Source organism: Homo sapiens, chromosome 3 (assembly GCF_000001405.40).
Source record: "Homo sapiens chromosome 3, GRCh38.p14 Primary Assembly".
NCBI lineage: Eukaryota > Metazoa > Chordata > Mammalia > Primates > Hominidae > Homo > Homo sapiens.
Window position 1 is genome coordinate 120257857 of NC_000003.12, and position 21555 is coordinate 120279411.

Here is a 21555-nt window from a genome sequence, read left to right on the forward strand (position 1 = left end):
TATTTACCCACAAAAATTAAAAATAAAAAAGAATGAACATTGTCTCAATGACTTATAGAATAATAGCAAGTTGTCTGACATACATGTAACTGCTGTTTGAGGGGGAAAAAGTGAGGAGGGAGGAGTAGAAAAAATATTTGAAAAATAATGACCAAAATTTTTCGTATTTGATGAAAAGTATAAACCTACAGATCCAAGCTCAACCAATCCCAAGCAGAACAAACACTAAATAACAAAAACAAAACAAGGCACAGAAATTGCTAAAAACCAGCAATAAAGATAAAATTTTAGAAGCAGCAGTCAGATTATGTACAGAGGAACAAGAGTAAGACTTACAACTGATTTTTCATCAAAAATAATGAAAGCCACAAGAGAATGGAATGGCATCTCTCAAGCACTGGGAAAAAAAAAAAAAGTCAGCCCAGAATACAATACCCACTGAAAATGTATTTCAGAAATGGAGTTAAAATAAAGTAATTTTCAGACAAAGAAAATCTGAGAGACATGCACTATAAAAAAATGTTAGAGTTAGTTCTTTAGGCAGAAGTAAAATGATGCCAGATACAAATTTGGATCTATACAAAGGAATGAAGAGTGCTGGAAATGGTAAGTGTGTGAGTAAATGTAAAAAATTATTTTTGTTATTTTGTAAGGCTATGCTCATAAGCATGTACTTATTGGAAAAATACACAAATACTGAATTCTTTAAACCCATATCACCTATATTCTTTCATTTTTCAAATACAGTTGCCTCAGTTCATATTCTCATTGCCAGTTGAGTTGGAGCCTGCATTACCAGAAAAAAAAATAATGAGAGTTCCAGGGCTAGCGGGTGATGGGACAAATGTATAAGAGGATGATATACATACATTAATGGAGACCCCCACAGTTACACCTTTGCTTTCTCCTCAAAATGCTCTTGCTGCTGATATTCATTCATTTAACTTTTTTCTTTTTGAGCACCAACAATGTGAAAGGAACTGTTCTAGGCACCTGGAATACAGTGGTAAACAAAATAAAGATCCCTACTTTTATAGAATCTGTGTTCCAATGGGGGAAGGCAAACAATAATCAGTGGACACCAATACATACATAAATTAAATAATATACTAAAAAATGTTGAGGACAGTGGTGGAAACAGTAGATCAGCCAAAGAGCATTTGCAAAAGCCAGAGGAGATATGAAGTGATCTTAAATGAAGGTGTCCTAAAAAAAAAAAATTAAAAAACCCTAAAAAATAAAAGGCTGATTCTACAGTGAAAATGATTGCAGCTTTCCAGATTAATATCTCCTTTGTTAATGCAGAGAACAACAGTGGTGGCACTGATGATAAAAGACTGACTCTACTGGGAATCAACTAATGATTATCAACTAAGTGAACTAAATTTGGAGAGGATTTGCTTCTTCCCTCTTCTTCAGGAATTTCTCACATTTCTGGTAACCTTCATGATGTATTTAGAGCTCTCTCTGTTTGGGCCTCAATCTGTCTTCTACAGAACCTTCCCATACACATCCTTATTTGCTCTAATCTCACTTGATTTTCATATTTCAGTGTTTCCTGAGAGTTTTCCTTTGTTGTCTTCATATGCAGTTGTGTTTAAAATTATTTTTAATTCATAGAAATTATTTTTAAAATTTTTTATTGTTTGTTTTTCTTTAGAGATAAGGTCTCACTCTGTTGCCCAGGCTAAAGTGCAGTGGCATGATGACAGCTCACTGTAATCTTGAACTCTGGCCTGCTACCTTTTGTGTAAGAAAGGAGATAGGATACATATAGGTCATTGGCTTATTTTCAAAAAGTAATAGAGGCTGGGCACGGTGGCTCACACCTGTAATCCCGGCACTTTGGGAGGCCAAGGCAGGCGGATCACTTGAGGTCAGGAGTTTGAGACCAGCCTGATCAACACAGTGAAACCCTGTCTCTACTAAAAATACAAAAATTAGCCAGGCATGGTGGTCAGTGTCTGTAGTCCCAGCTACTTAGGAGGCTGAGGCAGGATAATTGCTTGAACCTGGGAGGTGGAGGTTACAGTGAGCCGAGATCACACTACCGTACTCCTGCCTGGGTGACAGAACGAGACTCCTGTCTCCAAAAAAAAAAAAAAAAAGTAATGGAAAAATAAAAGCATTATCTATAAGGGGAGTAAAATAATAAGGGGGAGGGGACAGAGAGGCAAAATAGACCTCTCAATGTTCATAGATTTGACTCTGAAACCAAGAAAATATTTTACATAATTTAAAAACAAAATTAAATCAGAAGAAGAAAACCATCCTTAAAAATCGAAGACAAATTGAAATAAAATAATTGTATATGAAGTTGATGGCATAACCACATAGAGAAACATTATTTTAAGTAACAGTAATTTGATTAAATACCCTAAGGACAAAAAATACTCATAAAGAAATCTTAAGCTCCATTAGGTGGGTATTTTTCCTGTTTTACAGATAGAAACATACACACATACATACCTACATACATACATACATAGACATATACACATATACGTACCTATTAGGATAAAGGAAGTAATTATGTTCATGTTATTGGAAACCAAGATTTCAAAGTAAGAGAAAAGACATACACATATAAAATAAGTTATACGAAAACCCTTTAATCTTTAAATTGGAAATAACAATATGAACTCAGGATTTATTTTCTTTCTAAATCAATCTTTTTCCTAATTTGTTAACTGAGTCTTGTAAGTAATGACAACCCAGTAACAATAAACACTTCAAGTGCCCAGATTGTGTTCTATAAAACCACTTTTCACTGAAAAAAATCAAGTTTCATTAACAAAATGGTCAATTTGAGTTACGGAACAAGAAATATACGACATAAGCCTGGAACATCTCATCATGCTAGGAAAAAAAGTATCAAAAACTACAGAATAATGTCAAAAGGACATGAATCAACGGGCTCCTACTGACCCACAATAGGACAATTTGAGCATCAAAAAGAATAATTACTGCAATACACTGAAACATATACAGCACAAAGTAAGTACTCAATAAATGCTTATTGAATGAATGAATTCATCATCATGGGTATTAATACGATATCGTTGAATGTGTGGTCTACAACACTGACTTAGTGGCTCCTTCATGAGGACCCATAGTACAAATTTCTCTTCCTCTTGAACACAGAGAAATACAAATACATTTTTATGTCATGGAATAAATACTATTATGTTTATCTTTTTGGGGCCACTGGAAAGCTCAGAATCAAATTTATGGCTCATTTATAGCAACTATGCAGTTTCAGGTATCTGTGGCTCATTTTAGTATCCTATGACTATTTTTCTTTTCCCTGATTTCCTTATCTCTGCATCTTTCATTTCACTATATGTTTTAAGCAGGAGAAGGGAAAATTGGAATAATAGGGATGTTTCTACCCAATATGAGCAAATAGATACATTACTTGAAGTATTTCAGCCTCAGGTTATGCAATAAGAGAAATAAAAGAGACCTACACGCAAATTCACGCAAAAATGCTTATGTTCAAACCAACAACAAAGATAGCATTGTATGAGATGTTCACTATGATTCCTTCTGGCTCTCCTTTTACTACCTGACTGTAGGCAGCAGATCCATGAATAATTATAAATAGCAGGAAGTATAAAATGCATTTTTAATTGTCTTTGAATGACTGTGTTGTTCTGGTAGCAGATTTACAAACATTTTCAATATGGGTCACCTATACTAATAGTAAAATTCACTTCTATTCTCTGAGCATACACTGCTCCTTGTGGAGGCACCAGGCAGACGTAGACAGAGCCTACGTCTATCTCCTTCTGCCACAAACATCCTCAACACAGAAGACAGTTCACAGATGCAAATATTTTCTTTTTTTTTTTTTTTTTTGAGATGGAGTTTCACTCTTCTTGCCCAGGCTGGAGTGCAATAGTACGATCTCAACTCACTGCAACCTCCACCTCCCGGGTTCAAGCGATTCTCCTTCCTCAGCCTCCTGAGTAGCTGGAATTATAGGTGCCCACCACCATGCCCAGCTAATTTTTGTATTTTTAATAGAGACAGAGTTTCTTAATGCTGGCCAGGCTGGTCTCGAACCCCTGACCTCAGATGATCCACCTGCCTCGGCCTCCCAAAGTGCTGGGATTGCAGGTGTAAGCCACCGCGGCCCGCCGCTTTCTTTCTTTTTTTTCTTTTTAAATTGAGACAGGGTGTCTCTCTGTCACCCAGGCTGGAATGCAATGACATGATCTCAGCTCACTGCAACCTCTGCCTCCTGGGTTCAAGTGATCCTCCCATTTCAGCCTCCTGAGTAGCTGGGACCACAGGCAAGCACCACCACATCTGGCTTTTTTTTTTTTTTTTTTGTATTTTTAATAAAGACGGGGTTTCACCATGTTATGCAGGCTGGTCCCAAACTCCTGAGCTCAAGCAATCTGCCCACTCTGGCCTCCCAAAGTACTGGGATTACAGGCATGAGCCACTGCACCCTCAACAGTTGTAAAGACTTTCTAAGAGGGCATGAGCATGAGATTAAGGTGGGAAGGTGTTGACTATATAGGAACAGAATGTTGAGTCAGGGAAAGATGAAGAGTCAGAGAATGTTGGACATGGAAAATGACCTTAAGATATCATGAACTCCATCTCTTTATTTTGTAAGTGCCCTGCAAGGTTAAGTGAGGGGCTCAGGATCACATAATGAGTATAGAAAGAGAATCTAGGTCTTCCAAGTTCAGCACTCTTTCCATACTGCTCTAAAGGACCTTTAAAGGAAGAGTTATGGTTGGCCTTTCACACATTTGGGACAGCTGTGGTAAAGGTCTGCACATGGAGGAAAGAAGAGAAAGACTGTGTGTGCAAGGAGGGTGCTGGGTGGACATAGTAACAGGGAGAAAGGCAGGTTTGATTTGAATCCACAGCGTGGGTCTGAAACCAGTGTAGGCAATCGAAGCACACAGGGTCATGGGGTACCAATTTAGGACTGTGGTTAGAAGTTTGTGGAGCAGGCCCAAGAAAGAAAAGGAGCACAGTGGAAGGGAAAAGAATTTTCTGTTAGTGTGTAAATGTTGGAACTTGCATGCTTTTGCCCCAACACTGTAAAGTGGACTCAATTAATTTGCTTCTTAAATACTCAGACTGCCTTATAAAAGAGGGAAAGATGGTTTTTAAAATTCCCTTTTAAAGCCTTTAAGTGCCTCCGATTAAGTTTTCTACATACTTCTCTGGTTTCTGAATAATCATCCCAAGGACCCTGGAGCACGGTTGTGCAGGGAATCCTGACATACCAGAGGGAAGAGCAGGGGGAGGAGTGGTGGCTGTTCCAGACATATCCTCCTTAGGGGATTTGACAAGCAGAATGGAATTGCTGGGTGGCCCTTGGCAGGTGTGGAAGGTGAGCAGGGTGGGGTGCAGGGGAGCAGATCTGATTCACTCCTTTAGTCTAGTTATGGATCTGAGAGCAAACAAAGCTTTCACGTCCATGGGTTCTGGGTGAGTTATTGGACTACATCACCACTCCTTCCTATTCTCTGTGTTTCAAACTCTCTCCTCTCCTACCCTTCCCAGCCAACAGTTAGTGATCTTTCCACAATCTGGAGAACATTTATGCTCAACATTATTGAAAACTATATTCAACCTTTTAGTTCCACATTACTTATAAAGCTTTTCTTCTACTAAACCTTGATTTATCCCTTTGCTGTAGAGCGTTTATACTTTTCTGGCTGCTTGGTGGAATTATAGGTGAGCCAGACTGGCCCTTGGTTTGGGTTCCCCACAAGATCTAGAAAATAGTGTTGTAAACAGTAGGTGTATTGTAAACAGTAGGTCAACTGAATGCAGGGCACACACCAAGACCCCTGGACCAATTCATCCCTCCATCCTAGTGTTACAGGAGTTATTAATAAATTATTTTAGGCAGATAGAGAGGAAAAGGGGTCCTTGGGGAGTTTTTATTTCTTTTAAAGCAGCTCCAGAAACGTTTCTTGTCTAGCAGGAAAGCCCCGGCTCTGAGCTGGGCCAGCAAGCTTTGATATGCAAATGCCAGCCATTAGAAACTGGGTCCATCCAAACATGGTGATTCCTGCCATCTTCTTGCCCTTGCCCCTACATGTGCCTGGCAACATGGCCACCCCCACATGTCCCCATGTGTGTAAAACATAATGGCGCCCTGCATTTGCATATTAAAAAGCTAGGGTGGGAGGGTCAGTTTTTTCACAGGCTGCAGGAATGACATGACTGGTCAAACCAATCCCCTGAGCCCTATGCAAATCAGACACCACCTCCTCCTGCATCCTCATATAAGCAGCCACTTTTCTGCCGCACATGAGGTTTTCTCTTTGTTTGAATCCCCCTACTTCTCTCCCCGTACCGGGGAGCTGTTTTCTTCTTCCTTCCTGCTTTCCTGCCTATTAAACTTTTCCCTCCCTAAAACCACTCCACGTGTGTCCATGTCATTTTATCCAAACCGGCATGAGACCAAGAACCCCAGTGTTCCTCCAGTCATCGGAGCCGTATCACTAGTACAATACTTCAGAGTTTGGCTTTGCTTAACATATCCTAGGATCATTTAATGTAATAAGCGGCAGTGCAACAGACACAGCCTAGGCTGAATTTAAGTCCCAGTTCCACAATTTTCTATCTGTGATGCCTTAGGTTAGTCACTTCTCCAGTTCTTAGCTGCTTGCTCAATTAAACACAGATAATACTATCTACACCTCATAGGTTTTGTTGATGCTTAAATCATAGGATGTATAGGATGTGTGCAAAAGTAACTGATACGTACTAGATCTTCAGTAAACATTGGCTTCTTTCATTTTCACAAAATTTAAAAGGGTCATTTGATATACAGAAAACTTGGGGCACATAAAACCAAGATTATCTTGTTTCTCTAAATTTCCTAACAGAATTCCAAGTTCTGAATAATTAATATTTCTAACATGAAGAGCAACAAATTTTATACTGTATTCAACGTCAGATTTTGTAAGAATAATGAATCCTCAGATCCCTGAGGGCAGACAGCATGTTCATTAATTCAATAAACATTGATGGATAACTGTTGCCTCATTGTGCTAAGAGATAGGGATGCAGCAGGCAGCAAGCCAACATGGGCTTACTCTGGCATCTAGCACAGTGCCTGGCACATAGTAGGTGATCAATCCATGTTTGTTGATATCAACCAAGTGATGTTTAGAAAACATTTTACAGTGTAGGAGTCCTTGGAACAATCCTCAGCACTGTCTAGATACTCATGACTTAGGAGAAGCAGGAGGGTTGACACATGAAGGTAGAGAGGGCTGGAACATCCTCCCTGGCTACTGTGGGAGCGCTTCCTGCTTTTAGAGACCTGCCCTGATGCATTTTCTGACTCTCAGGTACAAGCTGGTACAACTACAGGAACTGAGTCACTACTACTGCCTTATATTTGGATCCCAGAGACCTGTTAATATTCTATACTATTCTAGGGGCTGGGGTTTGGGAACTTTTTTAAAAAGCATCATACAAAAACCTTCACCAACTTCCCAGAGTTGTACTGTTACCTAAAAGCACTTAGGTACTATTATGCAAATTGTACATGCATTATTTCCATAAAAAACAGTCACAAATGTCAATTAGTGCTCATTAGTATGCAATAAAATTCTCATTTGAAAACTATTAAGAGCCAAGAATGAATTCCACTTGGCTGCCCTCCTTTAATGAGAACCACTGAGAAGTACCCTGTGCTATTTCTCATCAGCAAAACAGTAAGGTGTAACAACAAATCAAGCTTCAAGCAACAGCAGGAGTAGACAGAATAAACACTTGAAGGTTTCAGAGACTGGTTTTGGACAGTTCAAGTTTTATGCTGCTACAGCTGAGATCCCTACCACTGGGTACTAAGAATATAGGCTGAGCGAATTCATTAAGTTACTTTGCAAACGAAGCATGGTGATACTGAGCACTCTGTTAAAGGATGTTTGTGAGGGTGCCACATGTCTGGAAGAGGGTAATGAAACCTCATTACTGAGGGTCAGTCTGTTCAAGAGACTGTGTTATATGCCTCAAAGGAGGCTGAGAGCCAAGGCCCTTGGAATTACGGGGCTCATCCCTAAAAAGCCTCCTGGTAAAAATTTTTGTGAGTGAACTCACATGCTGTGTCTCTATAATTCCAATTTCAGCTGGACATTGGATTACTCTAAACTGTTGTTTGGTGTTGCTGTGCAACCCAAGACACTTGTGTGAGGGTGATTTGGGCTTTTGAGGCTTTACGATTTTTCCATAAAGATGGAAAATAGAAGCTGTCAACATTAGACTGGTCTTTCTGCAGATACTTGCTTAACAAACTGTTCTAAACCTGGCTTGGGAGCGGGGCGGAGAACAGGATTTTCTAATTATAGCCTAACCCAGTGGTTATCAAACTTTAGTGCACACCAGAATCACCTGGAAAGCTCCTTAGAAAACACCGATTCCTGGTCCCATCTCCAATTTGTAACTCAGTAGGTATGGCCTGGGGCCGGCCTGAGAATTTGTATTTCTAACAAGTTCCTAGGTGATGCTGATGCTGCTGCTGATCTGGGAATCATACTATGAGAAACCCAGTCCAGGATAAGAAATATAGGGCTTTCATCAGAGTTTGAACCAGACAGACCCTTGGGATAACTTTTAATATGTTACTCCAGGCTGCTTTGATGACTCATGCACACATATTTAGATCAAGTCATTTGAATTATTCTCTAGAAATTAGTTTCAGGGAAGTATTATTGAGAAATTAGACACTTAACATGGCACTCGATTCTTTCATTCTTCAAGCCATGATTCTTAAATAGTTTTTGGTCATGAGAGACTGATGAAAGCTACGGACTCTCTCCTGAAAAACTGTATACAAACATGTAATATCTTACATACAATATTGGGGGGAATTATAGGCCACCCACCAACCCTCCTGCAAAGCCCAATCACCCCAAATAAAGAGCCTCATTTCAAACTAAACTCAGCTGAAGTCAGGGATAAAAGAATGTTTTAGGCCAGGTGTGGTCACTCACACCTGTAATCCCAACACTTTGGGAGGCCAAGGCAGGTGGATCGACCTGAGGTCAGGAGTTCAAGACAAGCCTGGCCAACATGGTGAAACCCCATCTCTACTAAAAATACAAAAAATTAGCCAGGTGTAGTGGTCCACACCTGCAATCTCAGCTACTAGGGAGGCTGAGGCAGGAGAATCACTTGAACCCAGGAGGTAGAGGTTGCAGTGAGCCAAGATCTTGCCACTGCACTCTAGCCTGGGTGACAAAGCAAGACTCTGTCTCAAAAAAAAAAAAAGAACATTTTAATTATTCTTCATGGTGTTCTTATAAATGTAGCTGTTTCTCTGTGGCTACCTACAAATAAAACATGATGCACTGAGATGATAAAAGGCTATGAAAAACTCTGTCACCAATTAAAACATTTAATAATCATTTTGAATATGTTTATTCTTCATCTAGTTTCACAATCTTTGTGTTTAAATTGGAGTAATCTATACTTGAAGTAATTACACAAATAAGTTAAAAGTCTAGGCAGGCCAGGCACAGTGGCTCACGCCTGTAATCCCAACACTTGGTGATCCCAAGGTGGGCGGATCACCTGAGGCCAGGAGTTCGAGACCAGCCTGGTCCAACATGGTGAAACCCATTCTCTACTAAAAATAAAAAAATTAGCTGGGCATGGTGGTGGGCACCTGTAATCCCAGCTACTCAGGAGGCTGAGGCAGGAGAATTACTTGAACCAGGAGTTGGAGGTTGCAGTGAGCCAAGATCACGCCACAGCACTCTAGCTTGGGCGACAGAGCAAGACTCCATCTCAAAAAAAAAAAAAAAAAAAAAAAAAGCTGGGCGCAGTGGCTTACGCCTGTAATCCCAGCACTTTGGGAGGCCAAGGTGGGTGGATCACGAGGTCAGGAGTTCAAGACCAGCCTGACCAACATGGTGAAACCCTGTCTCTACTAAAAATACAAAAATTAGCAGGGTGTGGTGGCATGTGCCTGTAATCCCAGCTACTGAGGAGGCTGAGGCAGGAAGATCGCCTGGACCCGGGAGGTGGAGGTTGCAGTGGGCCAAGATCGCGCCCCTGCACTCCAGCCTGGGTGAAAGAGCAAGACTCTGTCTCAAAAAAGAAAAAAAATCGATTATATTACTATTTGCTTTACCACTAAATATGATGTTAGGTGCACGTTTTGCATAGATTCCCTTTATCAGGCTAGGGAAGTTCTCTTCTATTTCTAACTTTCGAGACTGTCTATAATAGATCTGGGCTTTTACATTCTCTACTACCTCTTCAGTGAACTTTGGTAGCTTGTGTCTTTCAAGGAATTTGTTCATTTCATCTATTAATAAGTTGATGGAATTATTGGAGAAAAGCTATAATGTTTCCTTATTATCCATTAGTATCTGTAGAATTTGTAGTGATGTCACCTCTCTCATTCCGATATTGGTAAATTGTAACTCCTCTCTTTTTCCTCCTCCTGTTTTCTGTCAAGAGGTTAATCAATTTTATTAATATTCTCAATGAAACAGCATTTGCTTTCATTGATTTTCTCTACTTTTCAAAATCTAGTTTATTGATTTCTGCTTTGATATTTCTTATTTTCTTTCTTCTGCTTATTTTGAATTTCATTTGCTCTTTTTCTGTTTTGGTTTCTTAAGATGAAAGCTGAGGACACTAATCTGAGACCTTTCTTCTTATAAGCTTTTTTTTGCGGGGGTGTGGGGGGACAGGGTCTCACTTTGTTACCCAGGCTGGAGTGGAGTGCAGTGGTGTGATCTCGGCTCACTGCAGCCTCGAAATCCTGGGCTCAAGTGATCCTCCTGCTTCAGCCCCCATCAAGTAGCTGGGACTACAGGCACGTGCCACCATACCCAGCTAATTTTCTGTATTTTTTATAGAAACAGGGTTTTGCCATGTTGTCAAAGCTGGTCCCGAACTCCTGATTTCAAGCAATCCGCCTGTCTCGACTTCCTACAGTGTTGGCATTACCAGCGTGAGCCACTGTGCCCCACCTTATAAGCTTATAATACTATAAAATTCCACCTAAGTACTGCTTTTGATATATGAGCTTTTACTTTCAGCCCCAAATATTTTCTCATTTCCCTTTATTTTTTATTAAAAATAATTTTTTTAGAGACAGGGTCTCACTCTGCTGCCCAGGCTGGAATGCAGTGGCATGATCATAGCTCACTGCAACCTCAAACTCTTAGGCTAAAGCAATCCTCCAGCTAAGTAGCTGGGATTATGAGTGCACACCACCATGCCCAGCTAATTTTTTTTTTCTATTTTTTTTAAAGACAGGCTCTCACTCTGTTGCCCAGGCTGATCTTCAACTCCTGGCCTCAAGCAATCCTCCTGCCTCAACTTCCCAAAGTGTTAGGAATACAAATGTGAGTCACTCCACTCGGCCCTAATTTTCCTTTTGATTTCTCCTTTGACTAATGAGTTATTCTGAAGGATGTTATTTAGTTACCAAATATTTGAGAATTTTGTTACTGATTTCTTAATTAATTCCATTGTGATCAAGAACACACCTTATATAACTAAAATCCTTTTAAATTTATTGAGACTTGTTTTATGGTTCAGAATATGGTCTAACTGGATAAATGTTCCATGTACACTTGAGAGGAATATGTATTTGCTGTAGCTGGGTAGAGTATCTTATAAAGATCAATGAGGTCAAGCTAGTTGATTGTATTTTTATCTTCTTTTATATACCTAATTATTTTCTGTTATTTCATCAATTACTGAGAGAAGGTTAATGAAACTTTGGACTACAGTTATGGATTTGTCTATTCCTCCTTGGAACACTATCAATTTCTCATTTATGTATTTTGAAGTTCTGTTATTAGATGCATAAATGTTTAGTACTGTTATGTCTTTCTGATGAATCAACTCCTTTATCATTATGAAATGATTTTCTTTATCCCTGGCAATATTCTTCCCTCTGCAATATTACTAATACTGCTATTCCAAATACCTCTAAATAGTTTTGAGCTTTGTTCTGGGATGCAGTCAAATTAACTGGAACAATTTGTTCCTTTTGGGTCTTTTTAAAAGATTTGTTAGACAGGATCAGTGCAGTGCTCAATCTAGGGCTACTTCCCACTACTAAGGCATGGTCTTTCAAAGTATACTACCCAACCCTCCATGAATTATGAGCTTTTCAAGTCTAGCTGGTGGGAATAGGCACAATTCCCAGCCCTGTGTGAACAATGAGCACTATTTCTTCTAATCCTTTTGGGTAGTTCTTTCTTTATCCCAGGTAGTTTCCTTACATGCATGTGCTGCTCAGTACTCAGCTTTATACTTGAGGTGTACCCTGTGAGGAACTCTGGGGTTCTCTCTGCAGCTCTCTCCTCTCCAATACTCTGTCCTACAAACTCTAGTTGCCCTGGTCTCCCCAGACATGGGGAGCTCTGTCTTCTCAACTCAGGAAGTCTGGGTTCTCTCTGTACCATATTCTGGAAACTATATCTTGGTATGCCTGTTTTTGTTTTGTTTTGCTTTGCTGAATACCAGAAACCACATATGAAAAATACACAGGTTCTGGATCATTTTTTCTTCTCCAAAGAATATGGAGAAGACTTATGCTAGGGTGTTAAAATAAGAACAGATTACTTTAATCTAATCAGTGACTAAGTTGATCGGGAAATGGACTTCAATATTTTATTTGACCGGGTCTATTTCTGGTTTCCTTTAACTGGTCAGGCATAATCCGTCAGCAGTCCCAACTGAAAGCTTAGGGTGTTTTTCAGGCCATACCACATTGGTGGGCTTTACATTCTATAATAATTTTTATCTTCCTAGTGTAATAAGATTGCAAGTAGCTCTGATTAGCTTCTCAGCTTTTTAGCACCTTCTTTGTGTTTGGATTTTTGCAACCTCTTGGTCTGCGCTACTTATAAATCAGTGAATGACTTGGAAGGAAAATTGCTTAGACTATTGAGTTGATTTTTCTGGGCCTCTTTTCTGTCCATGATCATGGTTTCTCATGTCCTGAATCATTTGGTTTCCTTGAATTCAATTTTTTTTTTTCCTCCCCAGCCCTATCAGACTGTGGAATAATCTGCCTGGCTTCTCTGATTTTAGCAGCTGCTTATTGTTTGGGTTCTCCTCATGTGCTACTTAAAAATGGTAAGTGTCTACAGGGAAAAAGTAGCCTAGAATTTGGAACACTCAATGAGTTTCTCTTCTTTCTGAGGTCTTAGCTCTCAAGTCCTAGCTGCCTTATTAGGTCTTCTATGCCTTCAAATAGATTTTTAAAACTCAGCTTTTCTAGATGTCCTGTATAGGAGTAAAAATCTACTCACAGATAGTCCATTATAGCCAAAATCAGATGCTTAATATCTTATAATAGGTTTAGCCTTAAAATTTTTCTGACAGGAACAAATGTTTAAAGATAATCTTTACTCAGACGACAGTGCAAACTGTATAAGATATTACTATCCTTACTATTAACTACGACATCAACTAAGATACATTATAGAATCCCTAAGTTATAAAACATAAACCTACTATAGAGTCTAATTTTGCCATCATTATTACTGGTCAGTGCATATTTGAAAATTAAACATTCATGTGAAGTTTGTATTAACATAAAGGGTAATGCTTATTTTGCAGGCATATACATGCACAAACTAAAGTTAAAATTTTCTCCTTAGAAATTAAGTGCAGTAACTTCTATTCTGTTTTTCTTTTAGTTTAGTTTTCAACCTAGGACATAGAAATCCATTCCAAAGCTGCTGAGTAAAAATTGCAGCATATGTTATAGAAGTCAATAGCAAAATATCTGCCAACAGGACTTATCATTTCTCTGTCTTGCTTAGCTAATGGTTGTATTCTGAACACAGATTCACACTGGGGTATCTAATATGTTTTAGAGATCACAGATTTTTATAAAGTGTCCACTAGCTCACAGGACCACTGGTTACACAATAATCTTCAGCTGAGGATTTTCAAATTTCATTCACTTTTTGCCATTTTGTCAGTTCACTGTTTATATTTATTTCACTTATTTGTACTTACCAGCTTCCCTTAACGCTTCTCTGACATTTTCTCCTCTCCAGCCCTGGTGTGGTGGAGAATCCAGCTCCTCTCTATTCTGGTAGACTAGACTGAAGTTTTACATCCCAGCAAGGGCAAAATTAAAAAATGAAAGCTTAGTACTCCTGGGAAGCTTGCTCCTAATACCGGGTTTGTTAAAACCATTTGTTTAAAAATGTTCACGTCTGTTGCTTGGCACTGATCCTTAAGCTCCAAGACCCCTACCTTCTTAACTAATTATCCTCATGTCAAATAATCAGTTACAGTTGATTGATTATATACTCATAAAACTCCCTAAATCCCAAGTCCTCAAAATGAAGACAGAAGACCGGGATGGGAATTGAAGAACCTTTTTCAATCCAACTATTAAAGAAAGGGCATAACAAAAAAACATAACAGATATAGCTTTGTGAGAAAGTACAGTAACTGAGCCTATTCTTTCTGAAAAGACACCCTTCCCAAAAAGCCACCCCTCAGATGATCCTGCCACGGATGAAGACCATGTATAATTCCACAGCATGGAATAAATCAGCAAGGGGAATTGTGAACAGTCTGGCCAACCAAAAGCAAGAGAGACACAATGTAACTGAGACACTGCAGACTCCAGTTCCCCACTAAGCTGATATAATCCACACTTGGCACAGAGGAGTTCTCACTGCAGGCTTTCCTTCTTAAACACACAGGCCCTGCTGGCAAAATGTGGTGGGAGAGGGGAGAGAAAGACAAAAGGAGGAGAGAAACAACTGCTGTAAAGGAGACCTACAGTGAGAATTAAAATTGTGTATTCCCTTTGACCCAAAAATGACAATTTTGGGAATCTCTCCTATGGAAATAAAACCCAAAGTATAGGAATAAATGTAGAATGTTTATTGTAGCATAAGTTGTTGTGCAAAAAAAGTTGGAAGAAAAACATGAATATCTATCAATGGGGAAGTAATGAATGGGAAGAAATTATGGAACCTCCTATAATGGAATATTAGGTAGCTATTAAAAATAATAAATTGGATCAATTATATGTGTTAATCTAGAATAATGTACATAATATGTACTAAATAAAATGAAAGAAATAATAACATATATGATTCCATTTTCACATACAATAGAAAATAAGTCTACACACTCATATGTTTGTTTGAACATAGAAAAGGAGTGAAGGGGCTGAGTGCAGTGGCTCATGCCTATAATCCCAGCACTTTGGGAGGCTGAGGTGGGAGGATCACTTGAGCCGAGGAATTCAAGATCAGCCTGGGCAACACAGTGAGACCTCGTTTCTACAAAAATGTTTAAAAATTAGACGGGTGTGGTGGCATGTGCCTGTGGTCCCAGTTATTTGGCAGGCTGAGGTGGAAGGATCCCTTGAGCTGGAGATGTTGAGGCTGCAGTGAGCTGTGATCGTGACATGTGAATACACATGAAACTTTTTTTTTGAGACAGGGTCTCACTCTGTTACTCAAGCTGGAGTGCAATGTCATGATCACAGCTCACTGCAGCCTCAACCTCCTGGGTTCAAGCGATCCTCCCACTTCATCCTCTCAAGTAGCTAGGATGACATACCACCCACTTGGCTATTTTTTTTTTTTTTTCATAGAGACGGAGTTTCACTATGTTGTCCAGGCTGTTTTGAACTCCTGGACCCAAGCTATCCTCCTGCCTCTGCCTCCTAAAGTGCTCAGATTACAGATGTCAGCCCGCACGCCCAGCCTGGGCGCTTTAAATAGTGGTTTTGTCAGAAAGATGGGAGTGAGAGAAGGTGGAGATTACTTATATTTTCTTTCTTTTTTTTTTTCTTTGAGATGGAGTCTCCCTCGGTAGCCCAAGCTGGAGTGCAGTGGCACAATCTTGGCTCACTGCAACCTCTGCCTCCTGGGTTCAAGCTATTTCGAGCTATTCTCCCGCCTCACCCTCTCAAGTAACTGGGATTACAGGCACACGCCACCACACTTGACTAATTTTTTTTTTTGAGACAGAGTCTCGCTCCATCGCTCAGGTTGTAGTGCAGTGGTGCGATCTCGGCTCACTGCAACCTCTGCCTCCCTGGTTCAAGCAATTCTCCTGTCTCAGCCTCCCGAGTAGCTGGGACTACAGGCGCCTGCCACCACGTCCAGCTAATTTTTGTATTTTTGGTAGAGATGGGATTTCACCTTGTTGGTCAGGCTGGTCTCGAACTCCTGACCTCAGGTGATCCACCCACCTCGGCCTCCCAAAGTGCCAGGATTACAGGCATGAGCCACCTTACCTGGCCAATTTTTTTTTTTTTTTTTTTTTGAGACGGAGTCTCATGCTGTCGCCCAGGCTGGAGTGCAGTGGCAGGATCTCGGCTCACTGGAACCTCTGCCCCCCGGGTTCAAGTGATTCTCCGGCCTCAGCCTCCCAAGTAGCTGGGATTACAGGTGCCTGCCACTGCGCTCAGCTAATTTTTGTATTTTTAGTAGAGGCAGGGTTTCACCATCTTGGCCAGGCTGGTCTTGAACTCCTGACCTTGTGATCCACCCGCCTCAGCCTCCCAAAGTGATGGGATTACAGGAGTGAGCCACCGCACCCAGCCTAATTTTTAGTAGAGATGGGGTTTCACCATGTTGGCCAGGCTGGTCTTGAACTCCTGACCTCAAGTGATCCACCCATCTCGGCCTCCCAAAGTATTGGAACTATGGGGTGAGCCACTGCGCCTGGCCATATTTTCTTTATATACTGCTGTCTTACTAGACTTGTTACCATGAGTGTGTATAGCTTTTACAACTTAAAAATGCAAAAGTTAAAATATAAAAAGTATTTATTGAGACATAACTACAAGTAACCCCAGTCCCCAGAGTTCAGTGAGGTATGTGGTCCTCTGGCATTTGCTTTGAATTGATGCTGGTGGTTAACAGCAGATAGGAGCTTCTGCTCTTGAAGAGAGGGTTCACCTTGTGTCACTCAACAGAAGCCAATTAAAGCCCAGAATCAACAGTGCCTCCAGAAAAGGTCAGTGGTTGTGAAACAAAAACTACATCTATTTATTTAAAGCCTCAGCCACAGAGCTTGCCAAGGGGCTGCCTGAGCCAGTGAGCAGCCAGCAAACACGTGGACGAGAATAACTCACGCTTTTGTCTTGGAAAATCCCACTACTCCAACTATTGACAGCCTTTGTTGGCTCCTGTTCCATACTTCAGAGATGAGAAGCACAAAGCCAGCCACGTGGCTACAAGTATAAATATTAAACCCTGTGGGAGAGATGCTGCTGCCCAGGTTTGAAGTGTTCTCTATTAGCCTTTGGCGGAAAATACTTTGAGCATCACTGGAAGCCACATGTCACACACAGAATGGCACTGGCCAAGGCAATGGTCTTGGAGGTGTGATACTTAGCTCAGTATTTGCAATTCAGTTTCATGCCAATTGGTACTTCCAGATCTTCTGAGGGTGATAAACATATATATTCAATAATAAAGAAAAATATGCACAAGCTAGCAGTCTGTGAAACATAAAGTTTTAAAATTGTTCATTCATCTTCCAACATATTTTTCTTTTCTACAATCCTCTCTCCCCACCCCATGCCTCTTTCTCTACCTCCCTACTTAACCCCCTTTCTCCTTAATGTTTTTCTGATTATCAAAGAAATTCACACTTCTTAAAACAATCATGGAAAACATAGATAAGTTGAAAAAATACAAATAATCATTTATAATCTCACCACTAATATTTTAGGATAGTTTACCCTTTTAAGTACTCTGCATTTGTGTATCTTTGCAAGTGCAAATGAATGTCTTGCAAAATACCTAATACTGTGAATGAATATAAGGAAATGTGAAAGAGGGGTTTGAATAGACATCCTTGCTGGGACCCAGGCTGTTGTGATACGGCCATGTGTTTTCATGTGTCAAGTTTTTATTAATATTCCTCGGATTGACTGTGACAGCTGCCTTTGTGTCTCCTCCCTTCCTTTCTCCTCACAGCTGCCTTGGAAGTCAGCAATATTTGCATGTAAAATTCCCATGGGTAGTTATTTGATCTTCTTTTATCCCTGTTTCTCACTTGTAGATAACTGGGTACCCACAATCTCTGCGATTTCAGCACGTCACTACTCTCTTCCCTTTTCCTCTCTGCTGCTGTTATGCTTCCCTCTCCCTCTTCACTCTGATCTTCTGCATTTATCCTAGCAGCATCCAAAAGCAGGCAGCCATCACTGGCTCATGAATAATCACAGAATCATTGAAATATCTGTTCAGAAAAGGCACTCAGGTAGTGTGATGCTCCGGCTTTGTTTTTTTTTTTTTGCTCAGGCTTGCTTTGGCTATTCAGGCTCTTTTTGGGTTCCATATGAGTTTTAGAATAGTTTTTTCTAATTCTGTAAAGACTGATGTTAGTAGTTTGATAGGAATAGCATTGAATGTATACATTGCTTTGGGCAGTATGACCATTTTAATGATATTGATCCTTCTAATCCATGAGCATGGGATATTTTTTCATTTATTTGTGTTGTTTCTAACTTTTTTTCAGCAGTGTATTGTAGTTCTCCTTGCAGAGCTCTTTCACCTTTTTGGTTTGCTATATTCCTAGGTATTTCCTTTTCTTTGCAGCTGTCGTAAATGGGATCATGTTCTTGATTTGACTCTCAGCCTGGACGTTATTGGTGTTTAGAAATGCTACTGATTTTCGTACATTGATTTTGTATCCTGAAACCTTGCTAAAATCATTTTTCAATTCTAGTAACCTTTTGGAACAGTCTTTGGGGTGTTCTAAGTATAGAATTATATCGTCAGCAAAGGGAGATAGTTCATCTTCTTCTTTTCTTATTTGGATGCCTTTTATTTCTTTCTATTGCCAGACTGTGCTGGCTGGGACTTCTAGCACTACCTTGAATAGCAGTGGTGAGAGTGGGCATTCTTGCCTTGTTCCAGTTCTCAAGGGGAATGGTTCCAGCTTTTGCCCATTCAGTATGATGTTAGCTGTAGGTTTATCAGGGATGGCCCTTATTATTTTGAGGTATGTTCCTTCGATGCCTAGTTTGTTGAGAGTTTTTATCATGAAGAGATGTTAGATTTTATCAAAAGCTTTTTCTGTGTCTATTGAGATGACACAGATGATCATAACGGTTTTTGCTTTTAATTCTGTTTACATGGTGACTCACTATGATTTGTGTATGTTGAACCAACCATGCATCCCAGGAATAATGCCTGCTTGATCATGGTGAATTAACTTTTTGATGTTCTGCTAAATTTGGTTTGCTAGTATTTTGTTGAGGATTTTTGTGTCTATGTTCATCAGGGATATTGGTCTGAACATAGACACAAAAATCATATCTCTTCATCATATCTCTGCCAGATTTGGGTATTAGGCTGATGCTGGCTTCATGGGATGAATTGGGGAGGAGTCCCTGCTCCTCTATTTTCTGTAAGTTTTAGTAGGATTGGTACTAGTTCTTCTTTGCATGTCTCATAGAATGTGGCTGTGAATCTATCTGGTCCAGGGCTTTTTATGGTTGGAAGGGTTTTTTTTGTTTGTTTGTTTGTTTTACTGATGCAATTTCAGAGTTTGATGTTGGTCTATTCAGGACTTCAATCTCTCCGATTCAATCTCAAGAGATTGTTTCCAGGAATTGATTGATTTCTTCTAGATTTTCTAATTTGTGTGCATAGAGCTGTTCATAGTTTTCTCCAAGGATCTTTTGTATTTCTATAGGATCAGTTGTAATGTCATCTTTGTTATTTCTATTGTACTTATTTGGATCCTCTCTCTCTCTCTCACTGTCTCCTCCCGCTTTGTTAACCTAGCTAGCAGTCTATCAATCTTATTTATTTTTTCAAATAGCCTATTCTTGGTTTCACTGATCTTTCATATGGATTGTTGCATCTCAATTTCATTAAGTTTTTCTTTAATTTTAGTTATTTCTTTTCTTCTGCTAGAGTTGGGGTTGGTTTGTCCTTTTTTCATAGTTCCTTTAAATGCAAAGTTACATTGTTAATGTGAGATCTTTCCAGCTTCTTGATGAAGGCATTTACGGCTATAAACTTTCCTCTTAACATTGCTTTGGCTACATCCCAGAGGTCTTCATAAATTGTGTCCCTATTTTCCTTAATTCCAAAGAATTTGCTAGAGTAGCCAAAACAGGGTGGTACTGGTACAAAAAGAGACACATAGACTAATGGAACATAATAGAAAATTCAGAAATAAGGCTGCACGCTTACAACCATCTGATCTTCAACATGGCTGACAAAAAACAAGCAATGGAGAAAGGACTCCCTATTCAATAAATGGTGCTGGGATAACTGGTAGCCATATGCAGAAGAATGAAACTAGACCCTTACCTTTCACCATATACAAAAACTAACTAAAAATGGATTAAAGATTTAACATAAGACCTCAAACTATAAAAATCATAGAAGAAAACCTAGGAAATACCCTTATCAACATTGGCCTTGGCAAAGAATTTATGGCCAAGTCCCCAGAAAGAACTGCAACAAAAACAAAAATTGACAAGTGGGACCTAATTAAACTAAAGATCTTCTGCACAGCAAGAGAAACCATCAAAAGAGTAAACAACCTACAGCATGGGAGAAAATATTCACAAACTATGCATCTGACAAAGGTCTAATATCCAGAATATATAAGAAACTTAAATCAACAGGCAAAAATCAAATAACTCCATTAAAAAGTGGGCAGAAGACATGAAAAGACACTTCTTAAAAGAAGGCATACAAGTGTGGCCAATAGACATGAAAACATGCTCAGCATCACTAATCATCAGAGAAATGCAAATAAAACCACAATAAGATACCATCTCACACCAGTAAGAATAGCTATTATTAAAAAGTCAAAAAACAACAGATGCTGGCAAGGCTGTGAAGAAAAGGGAACATTTATACATTGTTGGTGGGAATGTAAATTAGTACAACCACTGTGGAAAGCAGTTTGGAGATTTCTCAAAAAACTTAAATACAGAGCTACCTTTGACCCAGCAATCCCATTACTGGGTATATATTCAAAGAAATATAAATCATTCCACCATAAATACACATGCTTGCATATGTGCATCACAGCACTATTCACAATAGCAAAGATGTGGAATCAACCTAGGCACTCATCAACAGTGTACTGGATGAAGAAAATGTGCTACATAAACACCATAGGATAAAAAATAATGAAATCATGTCCTTTGCAGCAACGTGGATGCAGTTGGAGGCCTATCCTAAGTGAATTAATGCAGGAACAGAAAACAAAATACCACATGTTCTCACTTATAAGTGGGAGCTAAACACTGAGCACACATGGACATAAACGCAGGAAAGATAGATACTGCAGACTACTACAGGGGGAAGGGAGGGAGGGGGCATGGGTTGAAAAACTACCTATTGGGTACTGTGCTTATGCCTGGGTCCAATTTACCCATGAACAATCCTACACATGTATCCTCTTAATGTAAAATAAAAGCTGAAACTTTAAAAAAAGAAAAGGCACTCAATTAAGCATGCACCCTATTTACCTGTTCAGCCAAAAGACTGATTAATGCAGCACTTGAGAGATTCCACCTCACACAGAAAATCAGGAATATTTTAGATAAGAGCCAAG

At 39.6% G+C, this 21555-nt stretch overlaps 1 protein-coding gene across 4 annotated transcripts in view; it reads right to left on the reverse strand.

Moving 5' to 3' along the window:
* Positions 1–21555, reverse strand: part of GPR156 (G protein-coupled receptor 156) — a 119745-nt gene that overhangs the window by 92379 nt on the left and 5811 nt on the right. Inside the window, exon 1 of one of the 4 annotated variants that reach the window (XM_017005795.2) lies at positions 870–1000. The exons of the other annotated variants lie outside the window; for them this stretch is intronic. The gene's annotated coding sequence lies outside the window, so the exon portion shown is untranslated. Of the gene's footprint in view, positions 1–869; positions 1001–21555 lie in introns of those variants that run through there. 4 annotated transcript variants of the gene reach the window in all.